Source organism: Homo sapiens, chromosome 4 (assembly GCF_000001405.40).
Source record: "Homo sapiens chromosome 4, GRCh38.p14 Primary Assembly".
NCBI classification, from domain to species: Eukaryota; Metazoa; Chordata; class Mammalia; order Primates; family Hominidae; genus Homo; species Homo sapiens.
Genome location: NC_000004.12, coordinates 10,607,113 through 10,630,092, shown reverse-complemented (window position 1 = coordinate 10,630,092; position 22,980 = coordinate 10,607,113). Strand labels below are relative to the sequence as shown.

The following is a 22,980-nucleotide window of genomic DNA, read 5'->3' as shown; positions in this document are numbered from 1 at the left end:
ATCCTCTGTTATATCCCTTCATTATTCTTAGTCTTGCAGGTATTCCTTCTCCCCAGGCCCTCAGAGGTTTTGCACTGCCGTGGTCCCCAAACACCAAGCATGACTTGGGATTGACTGGCAGCATCAGAAGCCCTGGGTGAGGACTGAGGAGAGAGAAGAAATTTTCGTTTTCAAAGATTTATGGGATATTTCTGAAGCCTTGAAAAAAATAAATTTGGAGAGGTTCTAATTTTGGAAAACTTGAGAGAGACTGTGGCTGTTTATAAAAGAATTTCCCAGTGATTAGCCAGCATGGTGGGTAGCTACTGATATGCTCACCTTCACACTGCCTTCCCCCCTGAACTTCACACTGCCTTCCCCCCAAACTCTATAAGTTGCAAGACATTGTCTTGAAAACTAGTTGGGCTTGAGAGACATTGGCCTGGTTTTGGGGCTGACCTCACCATGTGGTCTCTTCATGAGTAAATGTGCAATCTCCCCGAGGTTTGCTGAAACACTCAACCTTGTGCTGAGGTTTTCTTGATGTGGGCGTCCCCTCGCAGATGCCTGGTGGGTGTTAGCACTTCCTCGCTCTGCCCCAGCTGTGCCCACTTCTGATCCCTAAGACATGTAAATATCAGGGGGCCTCATCTGTGAACACCCCATGGCCTTGACTCTCAGGCTGCCAGCATGTCTTGGGAAAGGGAGCCTGCCTCCCCTCTCTTCCTGAAAGCCGAGGCCAGGTCAGTGCCAAGAATAGCCAGTATTTTTTGAAGAAGGACCTTCACACAGCCTGTGAGGGTGGCAGGCATAGGTGCAAAGGGAAAATTTCTCCTTCATCCTCTGAAGTTTCACGATAAATCAACTCACGAAAGGCAGATTAATTGGAGAAAACACATACAAATGTATCTGACCATAGCTTTAGGTGACACGGGAGCCCTCAGAATGAAGACCCAACCCCTCAATGAGGCGCAGAAGTTTATAAACCATCTTGAGGTTACAGAAAGAATGGGGGCATGGGAGCTGGTCATACAGGTCATGGGAGGGGGAAGAAGAGGACTTCCGTTGAAGGACAGTAAATGGTTACCAGGGAGAATTTAATAGCCTTAAAGAACAGGCAATTATCTGGGACAAGCTCTTTTGGGTCCTCAGAGCAGACAATGGTTTGTGACAAAAGTCTGCCCAGGTGTGTTGACAGATCTTAGCCTTCCTTCCTGCAATATGGGTTCAGCTCATGAAAACTCAGACAAAGGGCAGGAGGTGATTGTTTTCTTCATTGGTAGGTCTGGACTTTAGGCAGACAAAGACTTTCAGAGAATCCTACACTTTGGGAGAGACGGTAAGATGTGGGGAGGCCTGAAAGAGCTTAAAGCTCCTGTTTCAGTTCAGCATGTACAAAGCATCATATTTTGGGGTATCGGTTTCTGAGCCCCAACACAGGCATCGCAGTCTTCACTGAAGAAGGAGGAGCAGAGGCTACTGTGCACAGTTCGTCCCAGGGAATGAGAAGTTGAGCCCAACTCTGCCTCCAAGGCCCCTCAGCCCCTCCAGCTTTCATCTTCTGCTCTATTCTCAATGTGCTGGACCACATTCTAGGTGCCGTCTTAGTCTGGAGAGCAAAGGAGAAACAGACCCTGACTTTGACAAAGTTAACATCAATACAGACCGAAAAATGTAACTAATCTCATAAATGAATATTTGCAAACTACTATGAGTTGATTTCATCTGAGTTTTGAATGTAGCCTTGAGTTGAAATCTGAAGGACAATTAGGAATTTCAGCAAAGAGTGAAAAAAAAAAAACAAGTCTAACTAAACAAGCCTTTTAAGGAAATGAAAGGCCAGTGAGGGAGTTTGTGTGAGGGAGAAACATTGAGATAAGCCTTCGAAGATTATTAAAGACCAGACCATATAGGTCCATGGGGACACTGTCCCAAGAGCAAGAAGCTGTTACAAGTTTTTAGGCATTAGAGTAATATAAACAGGTACACATTTTGAAAAGCTTCCATAGGCTGCTTTCTGGAAACAGATTGGAGGAGGCCAAGAGGGTTACACAGGATGCCAGTTAAAAGGCTGTTATCCAAGTGAGAGGTGGCGGTCTCACTAGCAGCAAAGTCTGAGACCTGGATTCTGGTGCAAGTGAATTATGCGGGGACCTCTTGCAGCAGAACCCTGCAGGGGAAAGAGGGAGACAGAAGGGGGAAGAAGTGTTATGGGGAGGCCTGACCTAAGCCTGATTTCTCAGTAAGTTCTGGAGCTGAGCTATTTCACAGACTCTGTGAAGCCCAGAGGTGAGGGGCTCAGGCAGTCTGTAGCCCAGAATGCCTGTGGGGGTGGGAGTGGGGAACCCAACCTCTCAGACATCACCAAGCCCTGTGGCTCCTGTCAGTCAAAGGCAATCCTCCCAAAAAGGATTAAAACATGAGTAGTTAGCAATCACCCTGCAGCAGCAGAAGGAGGAGACAGAGAGACGCTCTGTCTCTCTGACCCTGTCTCTCTCTGTCCCTCTCTGTGTCCGTCCTTCTCTGTCTCTCTCTCCCTGGCCTTGACAGTATCCACTACGCTCCAGTCATGGTTCCAAGTGGCAATGTTGTTTGGATCAATGAATCAGACCTAACATAGTACTCTATGTTACTAAGTAGAAACCAATGCCAATGATATTAAATAAGTAACCATACAGAAGCTTATGTGGCTAATGGCTTTTTAAAGGTATTGTTTCCTCCAAATGCCAGAACAGAGGGAGAAAAGGGCAAGTTTGGGAGGGACAATTCTCATTTTGTTGAGGCTCTAAAGTCCTGGTGCAGGGCCAGGCTTTGAGGTGTGTGGGATGTGCTTCCTGTTCTGCATAAAGGTGGCAATTGTGTTCCAACACCTGGGACACCTTCCACCTCCACAGTCTGTAGCTACTCCTGGCCCTCAGGGAGGTGTCTGTAAAACTCACAGTTTTCGTCAAGTAAAATGAACCCATTCTCTATGGATATCAAGTTTCCTGCCAACAGCTTCAAAGAAAAAGGAAAGTTTAAGTCTTTTGGAAAGACTTAAAGGGAAAGCTGCCCTGGACACCGCTTTGACCTCTCGCTGATGTAGCAAATTGCTTGGGTGAAGTTTACAGAGGCTGGCTGTATCATGAGAACCAGATTCTAGAGCTAGTCTATGGATGAAACGTGGCACAAAATCTCTCCCTGTTTTACAGGTGAAGAAACTGAGGTAGGGAGACATTAAGCAGCCTACTCAAAGAACACAAAGGTAGTGAAAGGCAGAACCAGGAGTGAAGCATAAAGCACGTGGCATGACACTCCATGTCAGACATTAAAACACATGTCCGCAACTGTGAATTTGGGAAATTGTTAAAACACGTTATGACAGTGACATTACAAACTGTAATGCAGTCATCAAATATGATTTCATGGAGGTACATCTCATAGTGCATATATCCTAATGCATGTATTTTTTACCAAAAAATTAGTATTTACATATATGTGTGCCACAAACCAGAATATATCGTTTGTATTATACGATTTTTATTTTCCTGTTTTTTTCTTGTACTTTTCTCAATTTTCTCGTGTGTTAATTTTGTAATAAAAATATTCTATAAATATAAACTTAAAAACTAAATTTCAAAAAAGAAAGGAAAGGGGAAAGTGAGGAGGGAGAAGCTGACTTTCTCCAGTTGTCTTACAGGAAAGAAAGAATTTGGTGCGAATAAATGACATTCAAGAGAATCAGAGGAAAGGCAGATGAGTTGATGTGGGTCAACGAAATAAAAAGAAGCAAGAGAAGGAGAGCATGAATGAGAAACAAAAAGGGGAGAGAGGAACTGTCTGTCTAAAATCCAGGCATCCTGGTGACAAAAGCTGCTCAGATCATTGCTCTCAGAGCAAACCTCACTCCACAGATGCAGCAATGGGGTGCAGGGTTCTGAGGCCACTTCCCCAGCTCTATGGGGACTGAGGCAGAGCTGTACTGGGCAGGCGGACACTGCACAGTGGACAAGGCATGAGCCCCAGCCAGGGAGACCTGGGTTTGAAGCCAGCACCACCCCCAACCAGTCAAAGTGCACGAGTGAAGGATGTCCCCCAAGATTCAGCCTCTACACCTTAAAGGTGGGAATCATTTCCACACACGAATGTTTCTGTGAAGGTTAAATTAAAAGAACGGTTGAAATGAATGTGCCCACTACAGAGAAGGTCATAACACATTGGCTTCCTTCCCTAGTCTAGAGAATTCCTTCCCCATATGAGAACCCTCAGCCTTGAGCTACATTGGCCTCAGATGCATCAGTAGGAGTTTGATTGGTAACAGAACCAGTTTCTGCTTTCTGACTCTGTCTCTTCCTGTCTATCTCTGCCTCTGTCTCTGTCACTCTCTGTCTCTCTATTTCCTGCTGTCTCTGTTTCTCTGCCTCTCTCTATCTCTGCCTGTCTGTCTCTGTCACTCTGTTGCTCTCTCTCTGTCTCTCTTTCTCTGTGTTTTAATCTCTGTCTCTGCCTCTCTCTACCTCTGTGTCTCTTTATCTTTCTGACCCTGTCTCTCTGTATCTCTCTGTGTCTGTCCTTCTCTGTCTCTCCCTCTTACACACAAGCACATGCACCTGCACACGCCTGTAGTACAATAACCATCTGGCACTCTTTATTTCCAAAGTCTATTGATGATCTCACTGGGTCTAAGGGGACCAGTCTGTTGGAAAGAGAGCAACAAGCCCAGAAGGGCCAAGCTCAGGGCAGAGGCAGTGAGAAAAGCAAACACAAATTGTTGAAATAACCTCCCCGTGGTGTCAGCCTGTCATGTTTGCCCCCTCTCTCTGCCTTTGTACGCCAAACACCTCCCTCTGCAGAGTGGCGGACAGCTCTGCTTTCAATTATATCGGCTAATGTTTCCCTGTCACAGCAAGGCTCAAATCTTGCCAGCCATCCACAGGGCCTGGTGGATTGGTCTGTTAAAATCCTGCATGGCTTTACAGCACCATGGGCAAGAGATCTTCCTATCAAAGGCATCTCTGAGCTAATGCTACTGTGATCTTGGCTTGCCTGCAGCTTTGGGAATGAAAGATGGGTTCACATTCACAATACCATGATGGTTATTATTCTACTGCCCAGTAAAACTATGTAATTTGTCCTTGGAAACTGCCAAGAAAGACATCCCAGACTCTTGTCTCTGAAATCAGGGAAACAGAATCGAGAAAACGTTAAGTTCAACCTGAGTTTCCACCCATGAGTTTAGAGATGTGGGGCGGACATCTCCTTCTGTAAGTCTATTTCTCACAGCCATAACACAAAAAGTTTGGACAGAATCACCATTTCCCAAGGTGTGTTCCTCCAAATGCTAGTCATCAAGATTCTGCAAAAGAATAAAATGAGTTGTTTCATAACCAAATACTATGGGAAGCAGCTCAAACTCTCTTGAGTTTCATGATGCTTCTTGGCATCTTAGAGATCCTGAGACATCCTGAGAAGTCCTGCAGGAAATACACCTGCTGTATTTGCTATCAAATAAGTTTAAAAAAAAAAAAAAAAAAAAAAAAACTGGCCGGGCGCGGTGGCTCACGCCTGTAATCCCAGCACGTTGGGAGGCTAAGGCAGGCAGATCACGAGGTCAGGAGATCGAGACCATCCTGGCTAACACGGTGAAACCCCGTCTCTATTAAAAATACAAAAAATTAGCCGGGCGTGGTGGCGGGCGCCTATAGTCCGAGCTACTCGGGAGGCTGAGGCAGGAGAATGGCGTGAACCCAGGAGGCGGAGCTTGCAGTGAGCCGAGATGGCGCCTGGGCAGCAGAGCGAGACTCCGTCTCAAAAAAAAACCAAAAAACTACTGGACACTAATCTTTGTGGAATATCTACTGTTTAACATGGCTGGAGGTTATCTTGCTTATCTTCATGAAATATCTACTGTTTAACATGGTTTGAGGTGAGGGTTCAGCAAAGCACACTAGTGCTTACCTATTCCAGCATCTGCATTCCTCCAGCTCACATGCTCTGGATTGTTTAGATTGTGTAAACCTAAAACACTCGGGCTATTTGCTTTTCCACCTAGAGATGGGGAAACTGAAAAGTGTTCTTTTCAGAAAATTCTAGGTTGTTGCCGTCACTGGGACACCATCATTTCACAGGAATGTATGTTTCACGTTTCACGTTAAACACGTACCTTGCTGCATGTAACATTTAACATGTTTTCTTCCTTTCTTCACTAGTCTACACTTCTTATCTTTCTTCAGTCATGCACATTTCTTACCGTTTAAGAGAAGACATCACTGTCCTGACTCAGAGTTCCACAGAAGGTTTTCTAGGGTTGGGTTCTCCTTCTGTAGCAAATGTATTTTTCATTATCTGAGCACTTTTCACACTGAACTGAAATTGCTTATTTGCCTATTTCCCTTCTAAACAAGGAGTCCCTACAGTTCAGGGCACAAACTTTTAAGTATTTTATCACCTGTGTGGTTAACACTTAGTATCTAAAACTTACTTTAGATATTGTTTATACATCTAATTCATTTAAATATTTGTCAGGCGTCATCTTATTAAATCCTCTCAATTATCCAATGAAGTAGAAGCTGGCCCTTCACCTGATATATTGATGAGGAATTGGAGGCTTAGAAACATGTACTGGCATTCCCTAAGCTTTAGAGGCTGCATATCTACAAGGTTAGTGGCTGAAATTTGAAGCCAGACAGTCAGATTCCAGAGCTCTTACTCTGGCCACCGTATTGTATTACCCAGAGGCAGTGAGGAGATGCTCAACAAACATTTGTTGAAAGAGAAATGTATGAGGCTTTATTAAAAGAGCATCCTATAAGACGGCTGCTTCTCTGATTTTACATACTCTGAATCTTGGAGAGAATGGTCTGTCAACCCTCTCCAACACAGGTATCCATCTCGAAAAACCTAGAGAGGGATTTGTTAAGTCAGGAGTTCATGAAGCTGATCAATGACTCAACTGAGTAATGGGAGACTCATTTTCTGGAATGAGAACTGTAGGTAATGCAGATTTTTTAATTAATATTTAAAATCTTTATTAAGGTATAATTTACTGCTATGGACTGAATATTAGTGTTTCCCCCAAATTGACATATCGAAGCCCTAGTTAATCCCCAATGCAATAGTATTTAGAGGTGGGGACTTTGGGACATAAATGGGCTCAGATGAGGTCATGGTGGTGAAACCCCTCTGAAGAAAATTAGTGTCCTTGTAAGGGATGAAGGGGCCAGAGCTCCCTCTCTCTACCAAGTAAGGAAGTGGCTGTTTGTAAGCCAGGAAGGGAGCCCTCACCAAGAACTTGACCATGCTGGCATCCTGATCTTGGACTTCCAGCCACCAGAACTGTGAGAAATAAATGTTTATTATTCAAACCACCCAGTCCATGCTATTCGGTTATAGCAGCCCAAGCTGACTAAGATATTTTCATAATAAAAATCAATGTTATATACTCAAAATGGGCAAATTTCATAGTATGAATTTGGTATGCATTTGTACTGTTGTTCCTTCCACCAAACCATGACAAGTTTTAATACCAAAATTATGTTCTTTCTTGACAAAGAACTGGTGAAAACTTCCAGATGGTGTGGGTGCCCCCTTTCTGTCCTATACTGTTTCAACCAAGGTTGGGCAAAGACCTTCTTTCCTTGGTCAGGGCTTTCATGCCTGTTATTGCAGTTAGCCATGAGTTGTTGTAGCCTGTCACATCCCGTCATGAATTGTAAGCTCTCAAAGGAGCATGACATTTCTTTTGCATTTTTAAACGAACCCAAGAATAAACAAAGTGACATACTTGTCTGGAGAAAACATAAGGCTTGAAATCAGGTGACCCAAGTTTGCCTCCCAGAGTCCCTCCTTTAAAACTATATGACCACAAGCCTCAATTTCTCCATCAGTATAATGGGAATAATATCATTATAACTCCTGGTTCCAGGCTGGCTATGCCCCTAACAATCTATATGGTATTTACCAAATAAAGGGGAAGAGAATGCAAAGACTTTTAAGTATTTTCTACTCCTTGAAATCTTTGATGCCTGGATTTTAAGAACTCAAATTTCCAAACAAAAACTTTTTTCTTAGTCTCTAAGCAGCCATTTTCCCCAAACCACTTGCTTTTATGACCTAGACTGCAAATAACAAGTCCTGTTTTGCTCAGATGAAAGAGTGATTTGACAACCACTTAACGGTGTACATTTTCTCAGCATCGCAATCACAGAAATACCTGGGCTAAATGGCACAGTGCTGATCCACTGTGAAAATTTGTGGAGTGTTCAATTACCCTTAGAATTGTTCATCTCTTACCTGTGGAGCCCCAGAGTCTAATCACAGGACAATAGGCTGCAGCTGGAAAATATTCCACAGCACACAAAGAAAGTTCACAGAGAAGCCACAGGCCCCAGACCCCACCTGGAAAGTGAATTGTCCTGCATTTTGCAGCACACGCATCATCCTTTTCTTGACAGTATGTTCCTAATGTCATCCTGGAGGGACAGAATAATAAATAACAACAATAAATCTGACATTGGCTTATCAAATCTAAGGACAGAATTAATTCAAGGGCTGCAGATTCCAGTGACTAGCATTTGTGGATCTTAACTGGATCTGATTGGATTCAGACACATGTCACATTTCTGGCCCCAAGTCTATTGAAGATCATGCTCTTGACTCAAAGGACACCCACTGGACCCCAAAATGGAAAGACCTCCAATGATACTTAGTTTTCTTTGATTGAATGATAGACTTCTTCATGTATTCCTTATTCCACAAACATTTAATACATGTCAGCTATCTTCCGGTAACTCTGCTTGGGGCTGCAATTAGAAGACAAATAAAATACAGTCCCTGCCCTCAAGAATCCCCCTGTCTGAGGTGTCCTGTTACCATTCTGCCCTCTCCAGGAAGACACTTCTATCGCGTTTCAAGGACATACTGTGGAAAAACGTCCTGGGCTTTGAGCCAAACAGAAGTGTCTGGCCTGCAGCGGCCACTTACCTCTTGGTGACTGAGGTACTGAGGTAGGGCTTTTTGGTTTCTTGTTTTTCTGTTTTCGAGACGGAGTCTCGCTCTGTCACCCAGGCATGATCTCGGCTCACTGCAAGCTCTGTCTCCCGGGTTCACGCCATTATCCTGCCTCAGCCTCCTGAGCAGCTGGGACTACAGGTGCCCACCACTACGCCGGGCTAATTTTTTTTTTTTTTGTATTTTTAGTAGAGACGGGGCTTCACCATGTTAGCCAGGATTGTCTTGATCTCCTGACCTTGTGATCTGCCTGCCTCAGCCTCCCAAAGTGCTGGGATTACAGGTGTGAGCCACCGCGCCCAGCCTGAGGTAGAGTTTTTACCCTCCTCAGCCTCAGCTTCTTCATCTGTAAAATGGCAGTCAAGCAAGCCAGAAGTTACATCACTGTACTGTCAACATTATAAGAGAAGTAAACACAGAGCACCAGGAGAATTAGGAGCCATAGAACAGGTGCAGGCAGGCACCCCACGCTAAAGAAGGCAGAACTGGGTCTCGGTTTTGAGAGCAGAGTAAGAACAAATTGCCTCTGGAAGTGTCAGGGAGCCCTGCAGCCTAGGCATGAGAAACCTTACGGATATGAGATGCTGCATGCTCTTGGAGGAATGAATGGCACCTTTAAAGAAAAATGCAAGGGGATGGGACAGTTTGGTTAGAGGGAGTCCTACTGAGTGGCTTAGATAAAATCAGTGACGATTGTTTGACAGTTAAGTCAGTGCCTGAGTGAGGTGACTTTAGGATAGGTGGGTTTCTGGCATTGGTGTTGACATGGATCCTCTGGGTGACAAAACCTCTCTGAAAAGGACAAAGCAATGGGTTCCAAATGAAGCAACAGCCTCCTAGTAAAATGGTGCATCTCGGGAACGAAGTTAGTTACGGCTACTACGGATCATGTGATTGGAGTGCACAGCTTCCCGTTTCCAGATTCAAATCCTTCATTTTCACAACGAGGAGATGTGAGTGCTTAGGCTCTGAGGAAAGGGAGGAGGATGCGTCTAAGAGGAGACGCATGCTCAGTTCTCTCCCCTTTTCTTGATGCGCAGAATTTCTCACTTGGCCGTGAAGAGCAGAGAAAGGAAGGGACTATCCAGTCTACAGATTTCTCACATTCTTGTGTGAAAAGAAAACAGGGGTTGGTGATTGAGGTTCCCTCTTTCTGTACCATTGAAACCCACCAGCGATTAACACAGAGTATTATGGGAAAACGCCCCGGGCTTTGAGCCAAGCAGAAGAGTCTGGCCTGTAGCAGCCTCTTACCTCTTGGTGACTGGGATAGAGTTTTTACCCTCCTTAGCCTCAGTTTCTTCATCTGTAAAATATAAATAGGAATGCCAGCTCCACACGATACTGGAAAGACTACTTGAGAGCCTGTGTGGATCACATAGCACACCATGCTGACCGCCTTTCTATTTGTTGCTGTTTGTTTAATTCTGTCTTTTGAAGATCAGAGAGATCTATTCCAACCCATTCATTTACTGAATGTCCCTTTTCCTTTCCCTTTTATTTATTTTCCTTTTTTTTCTTTTTCCACCCCAACCCCTCCTGCACACACAAACACACCTATGTTTCCTGCAGAAATGAAGCTAATTCCAACACTTAATTAGTGAAGTCATTGCCACACAGAGAGCAGCCAAGGTGCTTTGGGAGGGATGGTAGCTCAAAACATTTCATTTTATTTCGAACAAGGTTAACCACATCATTATTACCAAAACACAGTCCCAAAGGCGCCATCTGTCTCCCATTGATGTATATTCATGGTTTGCTGGCAGCAGTTCAAGGAGTCTGACCGGTTTAAAAACACAAAGCTCCTGAAACCAGAGTGAGTTTATTTTCCTAGCCGGTGATTACAATGCTTACCTCTAATTTAGCGTGAAAAGGCTCCAGCGATTGCCTTTGGAGATAGCTAGGCATTGTTAGCTTGAATTACAGCACTTGGTCCATGGGTGTTCGCCTACCTGCAAGTATAGCTCCAGAAGGACTAATGTGTTACCAAGTTTCAGCGGAACTGTGCAACTGGCAGTGTAGAACACAGAGCTACTCACTGATTTTCTGTGGTCAAAGACAGAGCCTGAGACACTCATTGATGATTGATCAAGGCTAAAAGAATGCTGACAACATGTACTTTTCTCCTGAACCTTCTTTTAGATATAAATTTATTTAGGCATACAATATGGTTTGGATCTGTGTCTTCACCCAAATCTCAGGTCCAGTTGTAATGCCCAGTGCTGGAAGTGGGGCCTGGTGGGACGTGATTGGATCCAGCGGCCAGAGTCCTCACGAATGAGTTAGCACCATCCCCTTGATGCTGTTCTCATAACATAACCGTGACTGAGTGAGTTATTGTGAGATATGGTTGTTTAAAAGTGTACAGCACCTTCCTCCTTTCTTTCCTGCTCCTGCTTCTGCCATGGAAGATGTGCCTGCTTCTGCTTCACTTTCTGCCATGATTGTAAGTTTCCTGAGGCCTCCCCAGAAGCAGAAGCAGCTATGCTTCCCGTACAGCCTGCAGAACCGTGAGCCAATTAAACCTCATTTCTTTATAAATTACCCAGTCTAAGGTATTTCTTTATAGCAGTGCAAGAATAAACTAAAACAGCATATTTTACATGTCATATAATTCACCCATTTTAAAGTATACTATTCAATGATTCTTTAGTAAATTCACCAACTAGTGTGACTCTCACTATAAATCAGTTTCGGAAGATTTCCATCAACCTAATAAGATTTCTTATACCCATTTATGGTTGATCCCAGTCCCCCACCCACTTCCCCAGGCAATTACTAATCTACTTTTTTCTCTACAGATTTGCCTTTTCTGGATTATTTCACCTAAATGAAATCAGTCAATAGGTATTTTCTTGTGTCTGGCTTCTTTCACTTTTCATGATATTTTTGAGGTTAGTTGATGTAGCGCGTGTAACAGTTTATCCATTTTTATTGCTAAATAATATTCCATTGCATGAGTATACATTTTGTCTATCTACTCACCAATTTATAGGCATTTGGGTTGTTTTCCGTCTGAGGCTCTTATGGATAATACTACTAAGAATGTTCGTGTGTAAGTCTTTGTGTGAACATACATTTTTATTTCTCTTTGGTAGATACCTAAGAGTGGTATTACTGGGTCATATGTTCAACTTTTTAAGAAACCATCTCCAGAATCTTGATTCTTTTGTAGAAGCTCATTTCCTCTTTGCTCCCCAACTAAAACACTAGTGATTCAGATGTAAGGAACATGCCTCCACATCTTTCCCTACAGCCCAGGATGAAAATCAAAAACAAAAGCAAACAAAGCTGTTTTTTCTCTCCTGATTACACTCATAGTAGAAAAGCGCAGAGTTGGAACCACAAAATGAGCCTGCCAAAGAAGTAACAAACTCTTTTTCCGTCTTTTTCAGTCTTTTCTGGCTATATGGTACAAATAAAACAAAATAACAGTAGAGATACTGAAAATCAAACCATAAGCTTCAAAAGTCTGGCTTGGCTCATGGATCACTAGCTAAAGCCTTTATTTTTAATGTTCTGAGCAAAAATTGACTATTATTTCATTGCCATTTAATTTACCAGAGAGTTTTGCATAACTACCAAGTGTCTAGTACAGAAAATGACAGAAGTAGAAATTTCCAATGAGCAGCTCATAGTCCCACTGGTGAGAAATCCATACCTTACAGTTACATATCACATGGTAGTTCGTAAGGGGATTTTGGAATTTTTTTCTCCCCTTTTGCACACATCAATCCTATTAACAAATATTCTTTTGGGGGAGAAGATAAAAGGAAGATTGAACTTGGATCATCTCCAGTTTTATATCTCCAGCTATAAACAATAGATGCTGGAGAGTTGAACTTAGAGAACAGATAAACAAATATTGAAGACATTAGCATATTAAGCAAGGGATAAGGAGGTTTCTTAATTTATATATGTATGCATTGGGATGGGGAGGGGAGGAAAGAGAGGGAGGTGAGGAAGTTCTATGGGATTTTTGTTTCTTTTGTGTTGCTATTCTTGAAAGGATAGTAGCATTAACTTATATTGTGCACTCACTCTCACAGTACAACTAAGACACTAATACTGTTCCCACTTGAAAGATAAGAAGCATGTGGATCAGAGCAGTAAAATCATTGTCAGGCCAGAAGCCCAGAGTTTCATCCTAGGTGTGCCATGTACTAGCTATATTTGACCCCCAAGCTGAGTTCGTTCTACCACAGACATTATAAATGGCAATGCTTTAAGGTGGGTTAGCCAGTGGTGTTCTGGCAAATTTTAGTAAATGTTGAACAATTCTCTAGAAAAAAAAATGCGTGTATATATATATATATATATATATATATATATATACACACACACACATATATACACACACAACTTTATTATAAATGTTACTGGTATAAAAGTTGTATAGTACATAATTTACAAATAATAATGAAATATGCAGTACTCTTCATTATAAATTCCATATAGTCAGTTCCTTCTCATAGAATGATTTCATTGATTTTTGCTGAACTCTCATATCTTTAGCAAATCTATGGTTGCAACTGACAAATTAGTATAGTTCTAACATCAATATTGCTGCTATTTTCCTTTGTATTAATGAGTAAAACAAAAGTGGAACAACAAAGAAATATGAGGACTTTACTTGTTCTTCAGAGATGTGGGCAGCTTCTTTGTTGAATCAGATAATACTTTTCAATATTGGAAGAATATGTCCTATTTTGTGCTATTCGCAATGTTATAGATATTGACACAGCATACTGTTAAGTTAAATCTGCTTTATTAACATTTCCTCCATTATCTTCTTAAGTCTAATGTGTCCACAAAGCAATAAACTAAACCCCGATTTGTAGCATGTGCCAATTTCTGTGGTGTAAGTACTCCCACTATGGCCAACGTCCAGCTGCAAATATTACTTCACTAAATTGAGGGTGGTGAAGAGATGAACAGCAGCATATTTCCACCATTCAGATAAAATAGATGTAGATAACATCAAGACCATAGGTAATCGCGAAATGTAGTAAAATAATTAGAAATTCATGTATTTTGTATATTCATTATCTTTGCTTTTAGTCTAATTTTGTCAATTATAATTTTATATAATTTAATTTTTAATAATGACTGTTTAACAACTGGCGTGCAAAATTCCTGAAACTTTAATACAGAAAGCAGCTCTGCTGGGGAGCATAAGCCAGCTTCAGCACACCACTGATAACTCAATATTCCCTCTGCTCTTCTTCTTCCTCTCCATGCAGGTCTGACATTGAATGCCTCCTTTGTTATTGACTTTTTATGAAAATGTTTCAGGCTTTACCAGAACACTACCATTGACTAGTTGACCTTGGAAAAATCTTTGACCTTAGAGAGTCATTTCATTATTTGTAAATCAAGGTTATTTTACCTTCATCATAGCACCACTGTAAAGACAGGTAAAGTAACCAGGACTATGACAAGACAGCATACTTACTCAGAAACTATGAGCTCGCATCCTCATCTGCCCCTCAAAAGTCCTGGGGTCTATACCTGGAGCAGGTGCATGGAGAACTCTACTGGCTCTTCTTTGCTCTTCTTTTTCATTTTTTTTCTTTCTTGGTGTTTTGTTTTGTTTTGTTTTGTTTTTTGAGACAGAGTCTTACTCCGTTGCCCAGGCTGGAGTGCGGCGGCACGACCTCTGCTTACTGCAACCTCCGCCTCCCAGATTCAAGCTATTCTCTTTCCTCCCTCCTCCCTCCTTCAAGCGATTCTCCTTCCTCCTTCCAATCCCAAGTATCTGGGATTATAGGCATGTGCCACCATGCCTGGCTAATTTGTGTATTTTTTAGTAGAGACAGGGTTTTGCCATGTTGGCCTGGCTGGTTTCGAACTCCTGGCCTCAGGTGATCTGCCCGTCTTGGCCTCCCAAAGTGCTGGGATTACAGGCATAAGCCACCGCGCCCAGCCTCTTTCTTGTTTTTTAAGAGTCTCACCCTGTTGCTCAGGCTGGAGTGAAGTGACACAAACTCGGGTCACTGCCGACCTCCACCTTCTGGGTCCAAGCAATTCTCCTGCTTCAGTCACCTGAGTGACTGGAATTACAAGTATGCACCACCATGAGTGACTAATTTTTGTATTTTTAGTAGAGATGGCGTTTTGCTATGTTGGCCAGGCTGGTCTCGAACACCTGACCTAAAGTGATCTTCCCTTCTTAGACCTCCCAAAGTGCTGGGATTACAGGTGTGAGCCACCGCACCCAGCCCCTTCTTTGCTCTTCTAATCTCTGTTATTAGTGCACCCAGAACTGATAGCAACCAGATGACCTCTGTGATTAGGAGAGTGGGTACTCATAGGAAACAATCACAACAAGGCTCTTTATGTATTGATTTTTTGATCCTTACAACAATTCTGTGACATGCTGTCATCAACTGTATTGCAGATAAGAGAAATAAATCCCAGAGGGATCACATCAACTTCCTCCAACTTGAATGTGCACACAGATTCCGTGGCCTCTTATTACAATGCAGATTTCGGTTCAGTGGGGCTGGGGTGGTGTCTGGGATTCTGCCTGCCTAACCAGCCCTTGGGAGATGCTGCTGGTCTGGGAACCACACTTTGACTAGCAAGAAATGGGAATTCTCAGGCTGAAAAACAGATCTGGCCAGTTAGCCAATTCCAAATCCCACACTCTTAATGTCGATGATATTCAACCTTCTAGAAGAGCCTAAGTCTGCGGAGGAGAGTTCCTGGAGAAACAACGGCATCATAGATATCTGTAGAACCAAGGATGAAAACTCAGCCTTACTTAAGGGAACCAGGGCTCTATGTGGATAAATCTAACATATCCAGGTCACCTGGCATCTCTGTAATGACAGTGTTTACCATTATTTGAGCCACTCATCAACGTGCTAGTTACCATACACACAAGATGTCTAACATCCCACAGAAATTTCCTACCAGCAGGCTCCATGCAGACATCTCACCCAGACATCTGCCAGGGGAGGAGAATTTAATCACTACATTTACTGGAGTTTGAGCCAGAAGACTCTCAGAGCCCAAATAATCTAAATTCCTATATTACAGCTGGAGAAATTTCAATGTGGAGAGGGCAGGCACACTATGAGTCCGATGTTGCTCTCTCAATCTCCAGTTGGTATGGTGGTTGCCACTGAGGGTGGCCTGGGCATTCAGGGTCCTTGGTCAGCACCTGGCTCCCTGCTTCCTCTGGAATCTTAAGCACATTCTCCAGGTGAGACAGAACCTATCCTGCAGGTTGTCAAAGACAAAGCCACAGAGTCAGATGAACTATTCAGGATGGAACAAGGGAAAACATACAAAGTGGGCTTGCTTTTTTAATGGTTTCCAAAAGAGCAGACATTCAGGAGAGATTAATTCTGTGGGTGAAGTCTCAGCTACTACAAAGAGAGTAACACCTCCCCTGCTCCCACCCTGTTCCATCTCCTGCTGGGGTTGTGGCAATAGCTTCCCAAAGGGTCTCTCTGCTTCCACTTTATCCCTCAATGACATACCTATTCTCTAGCCAGAAGACAGAGAGATCCTATTGAGTCATAATTGTTATCTTTGTGTTCCTGTGTCTGAGACCCTGACATGGCTTCATAGCCATGGCCTAAGTCTAGTGCCTCTCAATGACTACAGACAGGGTATTGTCACATCTGCCTTGATTCTCCCAAAAGGCTCTTGGACCATCTTCCCCATCCATCCCTGCAGGCATTCCAGTTCAGCCACGTGGACCTCATTACCTTGATTCAACTACTTAGCCACATTCCTGCCTTTGAACTTTTCCTTCAGTTATCCCACAGCTGATGTGCCCAGTGCCTTTTCCCTGTTCCCATCTTTCCAGCAAGGCTCACCTTGACCACCCCAAGGACTATTCATACCCACCTGCCCACCCCACCCAGCACTCTGATTCCCCCACCTGCTCTACAGTCCTTCCAGAGCACCTTATCACCTGCTAACATGCTATACCCATTCCTGATTCATTCTGTTTACTGTTATTGTTGTCCTTCTCTGTTCCATGGATAGAGATCCTTTTCTGCTTTGTTCCATAGGAATTAGCCATCTTCTTTATTTTGTTCACTGATATATCTTGAGCACTGAGAGTAATTCTCGGCCCACATTGAGCACTAAGAAAAAAATAAATGTGTTGTTGAATTCATTTTGGTAAAAATTTCTAGCCTAAATACTTACTGAGGACTTGTTCTATTCCAAGCATGGTTGTAAGCATTTTGCATGCATTATCTCATTTAATTCTTACAATATTCTCAATATGTAGCAAAACCTAAACACCTTCGATGCCAAATGCTGCTATTAAACAGTCCCTGGGGAACACAGATGAGATATAATGATTGACTCCAACCCTGGCTTCCTGGGTTTGATTATCTTTTGATAAGTGCTTTGAAAACCCATGTCTCTAGACAACATGATAAGATAGATCTGCCACACCCCAGAGCTCATCAGCATGGGAAATCAACTGTGTACCAAGGGCAGTAGATAAGCCATGGGGTAAATCTAGGATTCCAGCCACTCTCCATTTCCATGAAACCCAGCATGACGCAGTGGAAAGAAACAGTCTTTGGGTCAGATAGGCCTGATACTGAATGCCATTCAGGTGTTTACTGTTGTGCAGCTGCAAACAATATACTTTGCCTCCCTGGGCTTTTCCTCCCAATCTGTAAAGTAGAAATATGGCTTAACCTGAAATGTTGTCAACAGGAATAATTGAGAAAAGTGGCTGACACACTCTCAGCAAGACACTTTGGACGTGGGATCTTTCACAGGCCAATGTGTCCATTGTCTTTTGGGGAATGACTTCAAACTCAGGTGTCTTTCTCAGGACCATGATGTTGGGCAGACCTTGTACAAAAGCTCATTTCTGTCACTTCACACCAATCTGTATTGAACTCTTCCTGTGGGCGGGGCCCCATTCTAAGAGCTGGGAATATGGAAATAAAATAAATGTCATTTTTTTCGCTGAGAGATGTGGGTAGGTTTCTTCAGCTCTCTCAACACTTGGTTACTGAGAGGATCAAATGAGAGATGGGTCTGGAACAAGAAAGCATGAATCCCATGTTCACCTATGCACCTTTTCATTGTAGACATTGTGGGAATACTGGCTGTGACATGCAGCGTTTACTGTTTACAGACAGAGATTTGGCCAATTGTTCATGATGGCTGCTCTTTGGGGGCAGAATCGGGGCTGTAGGGAGAGAGTGGATTGTCAGGGACCAGACCATGGAGGGCCGGTGAGTCATGTTCCAAAGATGGACTGTGACTACAGGCATTAGGAATGCCAGATTTTACAATGAGGATCCTGGCTGCAACACAGTGAATGGATTGGAGGAAGTAAGAAGTGGAGGAAAGGAAGGGGAGAGGGTGCTGGAGATTCTCAGAGGACAGAAGGCAGGAGCCACCCCCAGGAGCAGCACATCATTGGGCCTCACTCTGTCTTCTCATTTCCCTCCCCTACCTTGTTTTCCCTTCTTTTTTGTGGACCTGCTGGGATCATAAAGTGTGGCACCAGGAGATAGAGGAAAGGCTATTTTCCTGGGGGGCTCCTTCTCTAGAAGCCCCTCTGGCACTCACGGGAGGCCCCTCCCAGCTTCCCTGCAGACTGCAGAAGAAGGTCCACTACATTTTTTTTTTTTTTTCAGACTTAGCCTCCCTCTGTGGCCAGGCTGGAGTGCAGTGGCATGATTTCAGCCCACTGCAACCTCCACCTCCCAGGTTCAGATGATTCTCATGCCTCAGCCTCCTGAATAGGTGGGATTACAGGCACCCGCCACCATGCCCAGCTAATTTTTGTGTTGTTTGTTTGTTTGTTTGTTTTTGAGACGGAGCCTTGCTCTGTCACCAGGCTGGAGTGCAGTACTGTGATCTTGGCTCACTGCAACCTCTGCCTCCTGGGTTCAAGCGATTCTCCTGCCTCAGCCTCCCAAATATCTGGGATTACAGGCACATGCCACCACACCCAGCTAATTTTTGTATTTTTAGTAGAGACGGGGTTTCACCATGTTGGGCAGGATGGTCTTGATCTCCTGACCTCATGATCTGTTTGCCTCAACCTCCCAAAGTGCTGGGATTACAGGCGTGAGCCACTGCGCCCAGCCTAATTTTTGTATTTTTAGTAGAGATGGGGTTTCACCATGTTGCCCCGGCTGGTCTCGAACTCCTGACCTCAAGTGATCCGCCTGCCTCGGCCTCCCAAATCGCTGGGATTACAGACGTGAACCACCATGGCCAGCTCATTATGTCTTTTTTACTCAGGCTATTTATGGGGTGTCTACTTACCAGGTACAAATCAAGTTTTTATTTTGAGGATTCATACGTGTGTGTGTGTGTGTGTGTGTGTGTGTGTGTGTGTGTGTGTGTGTGTTGCTTTTTTATGTTGTTTTCTATCACGCATCCAGAATCTTTCAGGCATGACCACCTATAAATTAAACCACCAGGAACACGTCTATGGACCTATAAAAGGGGTAATTCACTGTTGTTATTTTATTTGCTCATTACATACATTGATGGTCTATTAAAAGCTACATCTCTTGACAGTCGAGACAGAGAAAAAAAGGAGAAAGCATTTGAAAAATGAGATGTAAGGCCTCTCTTTGTCTAGGTTCATTTATTTCCTCTTGCTGAATCAAAATTTAAACCAAAAAGAAGAGGGGGGAAAAAGCTTTTATGGGTTTTCTGGAAACCTGGGCATCAAAGATTCAGGATTATTTTCTTGTTTTCTAAATTAGATCAGCTTTTTTTGTCTTTCTCTTTTTCTCTCCCCAAGAAGATTAAAAAGAAAAAAAAAAAACGGGCCGGGCGCGGTGGCTCACGCCTGTAATCCCAGCACTTTGGGAGGCCGAGGCGGGCGGATCACGAGGTCAGGAGATCGAGACCACGGTGAAACCCCGTCTCTACTAAAAATACAAAAAATTAGCCGGGCGCAGTGGCGGGCGCCTGTAGTCCCAGCTACTCGGGAGGCTGAGGCAGGAGAATGGCGTGAACCCGGAAGGCGGAGCTTGCAGTGAGCGGAGATCGCGCCACAGCACTCCCGCCTGGGCGACAGAACGAGACTCCGTCTCAAAAAAAAAAAAAAAAAAAAAAAAAAAAAAAAAAAAAAAAACGAGCATTCATTTAAAAGGCACATAACGAGGCTTAATTAGAAAACGAGTACTAGGGAAGTCAAGGCCAAATAGAAGGGACCCGGATCACCTCACATGGAGCCAGAAGCTGCAGTGGAACCTTCTCTCTCTCAGCATCTGGTTAGCTTGGACAGATGATTTCACTTCATAGGATCTCATTTTCCTCATTTGTAAAATTAGCAGGTTCAAGCAGATGATATATATTTTTCCACCCAGCTTCATGCTTTGAGATTCTTTGAGACTACAACTCTGGCAAAAGAAGGAGCTAAAATCAAATGCCACCCTCCACTTTGCACCTGCAACCCATCGGCAGTGCTGGTCTATTCTAGAACAGTCTGAAGCCCTTTTCTGCCTCAGTAAACAAGAATTAGTTATTCCCTTGAGGCATTCCTGCCTCCAGGAGTCTTGGATCTTCTCATGCACAAATATTTCCTCTGCTGCTCTTCTGTGTGAGGGTCTTGACAGGTGGTCCCTAATGTCAGGAAATCCAGAGTTTTGGTAGAAGTTATGCATGCAAATGATGACTGTGCAGGTGGCAGTCACTGAAAACCAAAGTCTGATCCATTTCAATGGAGAACCGAGGGCCTTACTGTGAGTCAGAAGAAGCTAGAAGACAGGAATGCAGCCCAGGTGGACCCCAGGGACTGGAAGGAGATCAGAGAATGGGCTACCTCCTGACCAATAAGGAGTTCTGACTAAGTATGAACCCAACAGGCAGCTGTTAGAGCTGAGTACCAAGGGAAAATAGGGCCAGAGCCAGGTAGACTGTCCTGAAACCAGGCAGCCATTCAAATCAGGAGTAAATAAAGGTAGGAGTATGGGGAAAAGAGAAGCAGGGGGGATGAGAGCCCCTTGCTCATTGGCTTGGTTCCCACTCACTTGGCTGTCAGCTTCACGAGGGCAGCACCTATCCTGTCTTGTTTAACGTGACCCAGGCCTGTTATGAACTGAATGTTTGTGTCCTTTAAGTTCCTACGTCAAAATTCCAACTACCAATGATGGTATTGTTAAGTGGGGCCCTTGAGGCCCTCATGAATGAGATTAGTGCTCTTCTAAGAAGAAATGTAAGAGAGATGATTTTTTTGGCCACGTGAGGATACCACAGGGAAACAGCTCTCTGCAAATCAGGAAACAGGCTCTCACCAAACGCCAGTTCTAAGGGTAGCTTGATTTTGGACTTTTCAGCCTACAGAACTATGAGGGATAAATGTTTGCTATTCAAGCCCCCCAGCCTATGGTAATTTGTTATAGCAGCCCGAACTGACTCAGACAAGGCCTAATGCAATCCCCAGCCCACAGAGGCTACTTAATGCATAGTTGACTTCAGAATAACATGAGGGTTTTCTTCCCGATTTCAACACAGTTCAGTAAAGAATTTTCGTCATTGTTAAGGAGTTGGTTCCCATGACCCAGACACAGAGCCTTTTAGGAATAGTCAACAAGGATGCAAAAGGAGAGGCAAAAGGTTCGAGACGAAGCTGGGGGCTCAGAAAACACAGCTGTTGTTCACTAAGGAGAGAGCAAGCATCATTCTAGTTCACAGAGGAAACATGTTACATCCACCTAGACACATTTGGGAAAGATTATTGGAAAGGATGGCATCTGTGCTGGTACCAGAAGACCAAGGAGAGTTGGAAGATGTAGAGATGGGAGAAGAGGAGGAGAAGAGAGGGAATGGGCCTAGCAGGCCGAGGAGACTGCATGAGCAATCTGCATCTCAAGTTGCTGTATTTCAGCTGAGCAGGAAGTTCAGTTTGCGTGGACTGTAGGTTGCAAAACAAAATTGAAGAGTTGAAATGATAACTAAGATAAAATTGTAAAAGATCTTTGAGTGGAAAGGGATTAGTGTCAAGGAGATCAATGGAGGAATTCTTGCAGGGGTCCGGGAGAAAGATCAAGAGGCTTTGGTAAGCACAGGACACTCCAAGTTCTCATGTCATGTTACATATGCACATCTCTCCAAGTACATGGATTTTTTGGGACTCTTCTACTAGATTTTCAGCTGCTAATGATTCAGCACTCTTATTCCTCTCTGTTTAACACAGGTACAGTAAATTGCTCAGGATATTTTTCATGATTATCCACCATGGACAACATGAAACAGCCTCACCCTCTGATTTTACAGATTCAATAACCAGGGCTTATAGTTATGAATGGTTAAGTGATTTAGTTCAGTGACACAATGAGTTGATAAAATAGTTAGGGCTCAAATCTGAATCACACAGCCAAGCCCTCAGTCCTATTCAGCTGGCTGTCCCTGGACTCATTGTCCAGGATTGTGGCTGAAAACACCATAAATGGGAGGCACTGACAAGATGTATAGGACCCTCTGAGCAAGGTCCCTAATGCTGCAGCTGCTTCAGAATAGAAGCTTGTCTTCTATTTGAGCCATTTCCCTAACTTTGTGCTACAGACATATTGCCAGGCAAGACAAAAACAGCCTCCAAATTCAGTGGGTTGTGTTTCCTGGCATGCAAAGGCACAAGGAGATACTGTACTTTATAGGATTACAATCTCTGAGTAGGGTTTGCAATCATGCCTTATCATCAGTGTCTGCTTCCCAGCAAATGAAGCTTCCTGCAAGATAGCAAGGCATGCGTTCATTGAAACAACCCAGATCAGGAGAGAGATTGTACTATGGCCAAATGATAGATAACAAGACCCACTGTGTCTTCACTGGCAGCTCAAACTCCAGTATGACTCAGGTGGGGGAAAAGAGAGCATGCCACAGTGGGGCAACGGCAACCTACTAGGACCTTCTCACCTGTCCTTGTTCTTCTTACCAGAAACCAGCTCAAAGCCTTGCTCGACTCTTGTGAGCTCCATCAGCACAGAAACTCTATGGATGCACCTTTTCCCCCGTTCCTCAGACACCCAGTGTTGCCTAGAATGGACTACCAAT

General features: G+C 43.7%; 1 protein-coding gene and 1 long non-coding RNA gene across 5 annotated transcripts in view; one reads left to right on the top strand and one right to left on the bottom strand.

Moving 5' to 3' along the window:
* CLNK (cytokine dependent hematopoietic cell linker) overlaps positions 1-22,980 on the top strand; it is a 248,452-nt gene that overhangs the window by 104,754 nt on the left and 120,718 nt on the right. The window lies entirely within an intron of this gene.
* Positions 958-9,045, bottom strand: LOC105374480 (uncharacterized). 2 transcript variants are annotated; one of them, XR_001741593.2, is made up of 5 exons: positions 8,941-9,045; positions 8,251-8,759; positions 7,243-7,293; positions 5,174-5,314; positions 958-1,588 (listed from the first exon to the last, which is right to left on the bottom strand). It is a non-coding gene; the product is annotated as an uncharacterized LOC105374480 (long non-coding RNA). The 2 variants fall into 2 exon arrangements; XR_925383.3 differs by lacking the exon at positions 7,243-7,293 and having other exon boundaries at positions 959-1,588.